Here is a 9,397-nt window from a genome sequence, read left to right as displayed (position 1 = left end):
TTTCTTTTGTAGAGTCATCTGTCAATTTATTAGTCTTCTGGCTTCTTTGAATAAAATGTTGTCTTCTTTCTCCCTGCTTATAATTTTTTTTTGTCTTTAATTTCCAGCTGTTTTACCATGATGTGCTTAGGTGTTCTTTCATTTGTATTCATCCTATTTGAGGTTTGTATATGCATTTTCTATTTGTTTCTCTATGCATCAGTCTGTATATTTTTACCAACTTACAGTTCATGAATCTTTTCATCAGCTGTATGCAATTTGCTATTAGACCCATTAGGTGTATTCTTGATTTTGCTTATATATTTTTAATTCTAAAATTCGTATTTTTTATAATTTCCATTTCTCTGCTGAAATTCTTCAATTTGCCATCAACTTGTTGAGGGTATTAATCACAATTTAAACAAATTCATGTCTAATTACTCTAATGAGGTTTTGGTAGATCTATTACTATTATATATTATTCTCTTGATTTTTGGTCAAGTGTTCTTGTATCCTGGTAATTTTGGATTTAATGCTAGATGTCATATATGAGAAACTGGATTCTGAATGATTTTAATCTTTTTTCAAAAAGGATTTGCTTGTGTTTTGATTTAGGCAGTTAGCATAGTGGAATGTCACCTTAATCTAGCCAGGAATTGAGATGATTCAAAGTTACATTTTAGTGTTTTTGATGGCCAATCCAACATTGTTTCTGATTCATCATATTTACAGGGATTCCCAATTGTCTTTCAGGAGTCTTAGCTGAACGTCTTGGTTATTTATCAAGATTCCTTTTCCTTGGTGTGTTAGTCTATTTTATGGTGGTGTAAAAGAGCACCACAGACTGAATAATTTATAAAGAACAGAAATGTATTCTCTCACAGTTCTGGGGTCTGCGAAGTCCAAAACCAAAGTGCTCGCAGGTTGGGGCCTAGCCTCTCTGCTTCTAAGATGGCATCTTGAATGCTGAGTTCTTGAGATGAGAAACATTGTGTCCTCACATGGCAAAAAAACAGGAGTGGGAGAGAGAGAGTCCACTTCCATGAGCCTTTTCTATAGCAGCATGAATCTATTCGTGAGGGAGGAGCCCTCATGATAAACACTTTCCATTAGGCCCCACCTCTCCATGCTGTTGCTTTGGGACACACATTCAAACTACAGAACTTGGTATACCCTGAATTCCAATTTATGTCCTCCTCAGCCTCTTGAGAGGGTTGGAAGTTCTGTTTGGTCTCTCATCATTCTAGACACAGGCTTCTGCACAACTTTTCAGTCCTTAAGACACCACTGGTAAATTGGCAGAGGCTTAAGGGTAAAACACACTGAATATTGAGCTCATTTCTCTGTGCCCCTTTTCTCTCTTTGAAAAATCTAAGTTTTTGAAACTCTTTGATGCCTTCAAGCATTTATAGTTTAAAAATGTCTTTCTAATTTTCTATTTTTTTTTCCTGTGGGAAGATTTGTCTGGCAAAACCAAAAACAAAACCAAAAAACCTAATCTTGTGTTCTGACATGAAGCAGAAAATCTCTATTAAGTGTTAAACTCTAAAGTTCTACATTTTTTTGTGATTTTATTTATAAAGGGTAGATTATCCTTTCTTAGTAGTTAATCTGTAGAGCATATATGGCAATAAATAACTAGGGGTTTAGATACTACATTTGTTGTTAAATATATTTCTGTCACCTGTTCTGACCGATGAAGTTTAAAGGCCAAAGTTATAGAATGACTGTCAGAATGATTTTTCCTACAGGACTACATAGGCATGTCTTCTCTGATGTCTTGACATAAACCAGGATGACAGTTCTGTGGTTCTTTAATGAAAACAGGATCTTTCCATTCTTCATTCTGATGAGAAAAATCTTGAACCAGAATAACCATTTAGAAGCTATTGATCTGAACCCGCAATGAAACTCTGCTTTTCCAAAGTCTTTTGGGATATATCAAGGCCAAATCATAGGTATCTCCATAAATAATTAGATACACAATATTTCCACAGCTGTGCAATACCAGATGGTTTTGCTTTTTTAGGCTTAAAGGAACTTCCTTCCTTTGCAGTTAAAAAGTCAACTATGTCAGAGCCTATACAACCATCCTTTTTAAATGGGACACAGAAGGTCTGAGAGACTTGGATTTGAACTCCATGATAGTCTGACTTTTAGTGGAAGAGAACTCAATTACGTTTGTCACATGTTGGCATCAAAAGATTTTGCTGCCAGTGTAGCGAATGTTTTATCTTTCAACTGAATTATTTAATTTGCAATAATGACACACTAAAAGACAGGTGGAAGTAGTGAAGCTGCATGCCCCACTGACCACTGATTTTAGCTCTTAGCAAAGGTTGTCCTTGCAGATTTGCTGAACGGTGCATACTTGGGTCTCTGTTCAGCCCCCAGGCTCATGTTTGTCTTGACTCCCTTCTTTGCACTGCTTTTCTGATTTCTCTATTGTAGGTTCATCTGAGGCCAAATACCTGATGTCAACTTTCTTTTTGCCACAACTTAGAGATAACATAATAGGGGCAGCCTTTTCAATAATAGTAAGAGACAAAAAGTGGCCTATTAAATACAGTTACTTTGGATTTCGGGGAAAGAATTTCTTCCTTTATGAGGAAGAAGGCAAGACCCTTTTCATCTTTGATCATTGGTTAGCTAACGGTTTTAAAAGGATTAGGACTAAATATAAATGCCAAAATTATCTTTGTTTTTTGTCAACATATAAAAGCATGTCTTTTAAATTGTATGTTTGTTTTTACTTTTGCTTTTATTATTTTAAAAAGTCTTAGCATTGTAAACAATATATTTTGTTGTTGGTGTTATTAGTTGTGTCTAGCTTATAAATCTAAAGCTTTGTTATTATAAAAATGATACTTGCCTTATTCAAATATTTCTCAATGCATTTTTATACATATAGACATTTTACACAATATCCTGTAAATAGGATTCTATTATACTATAGTCTGGTGTTTTTATTCACCAAGAACTTATGATACCATTCCAGGTAAAGAATTATAGATGATTATCAGGATACGCAAGATGAAACATGGATGTCTGTCATGATTTAATAATGAATTATTTGGCAAGTGTGGAAGTTGCTATGATATGTATTGTGGGTGGAATTGTGTCCCCCAAAATGATGTCCTGAAGTCTTAACTTCTGGTACCTGTGAATGTGACTTTATTTGGAAATAGGGTCTTTGCAAATGCAATCAAGTTAGGTTGAGATCATACTAGATTCGGGTGAGCCCGAAATCCACTGACTGGTTTTCCTCTAAGGAGAGAGAGATTTGGAGACACAGATTCCCAGGGAGGAGTACCATGTGACTACAGGGGCAGAGACTGGAGCAATACAGCTGCAAGCGGAGGAATGTCAAGAATTGCCAGCAACCACCAGAAGCTAGGAAGAAAAAGGAAGACTCCTCTCTGGGGCCCTCAGAAGGAACATGATGGCCAATACCTTAATTCTGGACATCTGGCTTCCAGGACTGTGAGAGAATACATTTGTGTTGTTTTAGCCACCTAGTCTGTGGTAATTTGTTACAGGAGCTGTCTAAGAAACTAATATAATATGTTATGCTGAATTATTTTATTTTATATTATGTATTTCTCTACAGCTGGAAATAAGTTATTATTAGTGTCATGTGTCCCATATATCATGGGTTGACATTTCAATTCTAATTAAAGAAGCAACTATTTTGACATGTAAGTGGAATGTGGAATTTAGGAACTACGACATTATATATCTCTGATAAGTTTTCAAGCAAACTTTATCCACTTCTAGTCTCCTCAATTAAAAAGGGACATGAAAAATGTGGAGATTCATTAATTGAGACCAACAAAAAAGGCTAACAGGCTGAAAAATAAGGGTATTAGTCACAGACTTAGAAAGCTGAATGGGGACATTAGTGACCATCCACCCTGGGGCTGGCATACTGCCAGCACACACCCTGCCTTTCCACTGCAGACACCATCCAAACAGGGTGCTGCTCAGCCCTGGCCCAGACCCAGCCTCATAGTCCTCCTCTGCACAGTGTACCAGGCAGTTGTAACCAACTGATAGAGATAGCCCAAAAGAAAGCCTATTAGCTATTATGGTCCAGTCAAGTCTTTTCATTTACAGATGAAAACACTGAAGCCCAAGGAGAGAAAGGGAGCTAATTGTAGGACCCAGAATAAGTTAAGAACTGGATGTTAATCCCCAAATTCCCGTCTTGTGCCTACTTCACCGCCATATCCCCTCCTAAGCAGTAATCAAAGGATAAAAATCTCTTTTGGGGGGAGGGGCTGGGGTACATAATTTGGGGCTATCAAGATTTCCTTCAAAATCTTAAACGGGTTCCATGTAACTCCCTAATGGTATGACTGGGGTCCAATAGAAACATTAAGTATCTCAGGATACAGAATTGAACTTGAGTAGTTAGTGTAATTCTAATGGTTAAGGATTGTGGTAGTGGTTGGGGAAGAGAAGGAAAAGAGCAGATGCTGTTGCTAGAGGGCAAGGACCATACCACTTTGATTTCCCCATGTTGTTATTTGACAAGACTTATTTAATAAACCTTGTGCTTCACCATAGGGACATCCAGAGGGGTAAAAGAAAGACTTCTTCCTCAAGGAGGTCAATACATGTAAATAATTAATGTGTCACAGGGTAAACCCCCAAATTGGGGTTCAGCCTGGGAGGCCACATGTATTCTTGACTTCGTGCAGGAAGGAATTAAAGAGCAAGCCAACAGAGTGAAATGAAAGCAAGTCTATTAAGAAAGTAAAGGAATAAAAGGGTGGCCACTCCATAAGCAGAGGAGCCTTGAGGGCTGCTGGTTTGGCTATTTTTATGGTTATTTCTTGATCATATTTTAAACAAGTGGTGGATTATTTGTGAGTTTTCCAGGAAAGGGGCAGGGAGTTCCTGGAACTGAGGGTTCCTCCCCCTTTCAGATTATACAGGGTAACTTCCAGACATTGCCATGGCATTTATGAACTGTCATGGTGCTGGTGAGAGTTTCCTTGGGTATGCTAATGTATTATAATTAGCATATAATAAACAGCCAGGACAACTAGAGGTTGTTCTTGTTGCCACGTTGGTTTTGGCCAGCATCTTCACTGTATCCTGTTTTATCAGTGGCGTCTTTGTGACCTGTGTCTTGTGAAACCAGTCCTGCCAAACTCCTGTCTCAAATGGAAACGTGGTGAGGTGAGTTTGGCAATGCATTCTTGGTACAGGGACACAGCAACAGGTAGTACTTTATTATTTATAGAATTAGAATAATGAGAGTTGGAAGCTAATTAGAGCTCACTGATCCTACCTCATAGTCAGCCCAAGGATCCTCTCTACACTATACCTTGCAAAAGATCAATTAGTTCATTTTCTCTTCACCTAATTGACTTAGAGGTTAAATATATATACAAAAATGTGTGTGTGTGTACTTTGTGTGTGTGTGTGTGCATGCATGCACATGTATGTAGTTTTGCTTCCATCTAATTCTGAAATGATTCATAACCTAAAAAAGATGAAAAATACTCCTTTGGTCTTTGCTCACGTATTTCCAGAGATGAGGTATCCATTATCTCATAATGCAAAGTAAACCAAAAATAAATTTCTAAGCCCTCCAGCTGACTGAACAGAGCCCCTCCTGGCCAAAGGGATTCCAAAGAAATCTGAATAGCTAGGGGAGGGATAGCATTAAGAGAAATACCTAATGTAGATGACGGGTTGATGGGTGCAGCAAACCACCATGGTATGTGTATACCTATGTAACAAACCTGCATGTTCTGCACATGTACCTCAGAACTTAAAGTAAAATAATAATACTAATAAAATAGCTATATAATTAGGACACTTTTGGACTTAGGAGATTGAACTTTAGAAAATGTTTAACGATCTTGTTGAAGTTTATAATCTTATATAATACCATAATTTATATTAATTCATTTTTAATTCAATAAGTGCTTATTAAAATATTTTTTCTTAAAAAAAAAAACTAGTTCAGGCCATCTGACTAGAGGTCAGATATACCTCATTATACCCCATTCTCTTTGGAGTTTAGGCACAACTGGCCAGCATTAACATGAAGATAAAGGTTGTAAGACTGACAAAACAGACATTTTGTAGTAATAAGATGACAAATTCCAACCTGACTCTGGTATAGCATCACATGACAGATAAAAGGCCCTGGAGGAAATCGAAGTATTTTACTGAAAAACAGATTTCTTTGACATTATCTTGGAATGGTCCTGCCAAGCCATCTCTTGTGGGGGAAATTTATGTTCTGTAGAGAATCTCCTTCCCTTTCTGGGTCTTATCCTCATCCCGAAGAGATTTAACTAAGAATCTGACACCTTTTAAGGTCCAAAAAGAGACATTTACCATCTATTCTCTCTGAAGTATGCTACCTTAGAGGCTTTATCTACATAACAAGAACCTTGGCTTTCACAACCTCTGCTTATTGTAATTCAAGGATTTCTTTCTGCTGACTTCAACTCTTTAGGCAAAGCTTAACTTTTTTAACCAATTGCCAATCAGAAAATCTTTAAATCCACTCATGACCTGTATGTGCCCCATTTGAGATGTCCCACCTTTCCAGGTTGAACCAATGTATATACCTTACATGTGTTGATTTATGTCTTTGCCTGTAACTTCTGTCTCCCTAAGATGTATAAAAGCAAGCTGTAACCCAGTCACCTCAGGCACATGTTCTCAGGACTTCTTGAGGCTGCATCCCTGGCTGTAGTGACTCATATTATCTGAGTCACTCATACTGACTCAGAATAAACCTCTTCAAATATTTTACAGTTTGGTCTTTTTCTCATCAACAGCAGTTAACTACATTTAAAATAAAAAAAATCCATATATATAGATATGTCTGTTGTATAGATATATACCTATATCTGTCTATCTATTGTACTTCCAAATGCTGAGGCTTTATCTACTTTTGTCCAAATATGGGGAATCATCCTAGACCCTACCAATAATCAGTTCATCCTACTCATATCGTTTCCTAAATATTTATTGAATTCTACCCTTTCTTTCCATCTCTAATGCTCTTTTTAGTTTAGGTTTTTTTTAGCTTTTCCTTGGAATTCTGCTAGTCTTCCAACTGGTTTCTGAACCTCTTAGCTTCGTCTGTCACACAGCAGTCAATGTGATCTACTTGAAAAAGATATGACCATGAAATTTCCCACCCACAATCTTTTTACTGATGTCCTGTTATCTAAAATTTGATTTCTTAACAGTTATGCTGGAAGCTAGAAGCCAATGGAGTCAAGCCTTCAATATTCTGAGATAATATATTTCAAATCTAGAATTCCATACTTTCTCATATGAAAACTAAAGTGTTAGGATGGAATAAATATATTCAGAAAGTTGAATGATGTGCTTCACCAACATGAGTGAGTAAAGAAGGAAGACATAAGGAATCCTGGGTATGGGGCACCTGCCACAAGATGCAGCAATGGGAATTCCCAGGATGACAGTGAAAAGAAACATAATAGCTGTGCAGAAGTCCTCAAAGAGGAGCAGGGAGGCAGAGGGATCTGAGAGCAATGTCCCCAAAACAATCAAGAAAATGTATCAAACCGATCTACTGCCAGATTTTAAAAACTATAATGAGAGGAATTTTATATATCTGGGCCAGTTGGGTGTGAATTAATGATAGGTACATGGAAATGGAGCAATTGAAAGGATAAGGCAATTATTAACTCAAAAGAAAACAAAAAGTTGTACATTACATAATACAAACGCAGAAGTAAACTCTCACATATATGGTCAAATGATTTTTGACAAGGCTGCCAAGACTACTTAATGGGGAGAGGACATTCTTTTCAACAAATTGTGCAGGGAAAACTGGATATTCATTTGAAAAAGAACAAAGTTGAATTCTTACCTTACACCATATCCAAAAATTAACTGAAAATAGGTCAAAAACCTTAATGCAAGAGCTAAAACTATCAAGCTGTTATAAGAAAACATAGGGAAAAAGCTTCATGACACTGGATTTGGCAATGACTTATTAGATGTAACACCAAAAGCACAAGCAACAAAGGCAAAAGTAGACAAATGGGACTACCTCAAAATTAAAAACTTTTGTGCATCAAAAGATACTATCGGATTGGAAAGGCAACTCACAGAATGGGAGAAAATATTTTCAAATAATGTATCTGATAACGGATTATATCCAGGATACAAAAAGAACTACAATCCAACAAGAAAAAAACCAACCTAATTAAGATGGGCAAAAACTTAGACATTTCTCCAAAGATGATTTATAAATGGCCAATAAGCACATGAAAAGATGTTCAAAATCACAGTTCATTACAGAAATACAAATGAAAACTATAATGAGATACCACTTCATCCATTAGGATGGCCATTACGTAAAAAAAAAGGAAAATTACATATAGAATTATCATAGGATCTGGCAATTCTACTTCTTTGTATATACCCCAAAGACTTGAAAGCAGAGACTTGAAGAGATATTTGTATTCCCAAGTCTATAGCATATTATTCATAATAGCAAAAATGTGGAAGCAACCAAAATATCTACTGAAAGAGTGGATAAACCACATGTGTATATACATACGATGGAATATTATTAAGCCTTAACAAGGGAGGAAATTCTGACACATGCTACAACATGGATGAATCTTGAAGACATTATGCTAAGTGAAAATAAATTAGTCACAAAAGGATAAATATTGTGTATGATTTCATTTATATGAGGTATCTAAAACAGTCAGATTCATACAAAATAGCATGGCGATTGCCAGAAGAGTGAAGTAATGGGAAGTTATAGTTTGATGGGCACAGAGTTTCAGTTTGGGAAGATGAGAAAGTTCTGAAGATGGATGGTGGTGATAGTCACATAAAAATGTGAATGTACTTAATGCCACTGAACTGTCTGCTTGAAAATGATTAAGATGGTAAATTTTTTGTTAAGTATATTTTATTTTAAAAGGCTTTTTAGTTAATTAATTTTAGAGACAGGGTCTTACTCTGTCACCAAGCTGAGTGGTGATCATAGCTCACTGTAGCCTCAAACTCCTGGGCTCAAGCAATCCTCCCACTCCAGCCCCTTGAATAGCTAGGACAACAGTTTCAGGCTCATGTTACTGTGCCCAGCTAATTTATTTTTTGTATTTTTAAAGATAGAGTCTTACTATGTTGCCCAAGCTAATCTCAAAACTCCAGGCCTCAAGCAATCTTCCTGCCTCAGCCTCCTGAGTAGCTAGGATTACAAGTGGGAGCCACCGCTCCTGGCTTTTTTTTACATGATTAAAAAAATGTCACCAGACTACCTTGCTAAGCATTGAATAAATATGTCTCAAAATGACATTGCTAATTAAACCTTGAAGAAACTGTTTAATTTCTCTGTATCTCATAATACTAAAAAAAACTTATAGCTTTTAGTCTCCTTTGCAGATAAAAT

This window comes from Homo sapiens, chromosome 2 (assembly GCF_000001405.40).
Source record: "Homo sapiens chromosome 2, GRCh38.p14 Primary Assembly".
Lineage (NCBI taxonomy): Eukaryota > Metazoa > Chordata > Mammalia > Primates > Hominidae > Homo > Homo sapiens.
Note: the sequence above shows the minus strand (reverse complement) of the source record.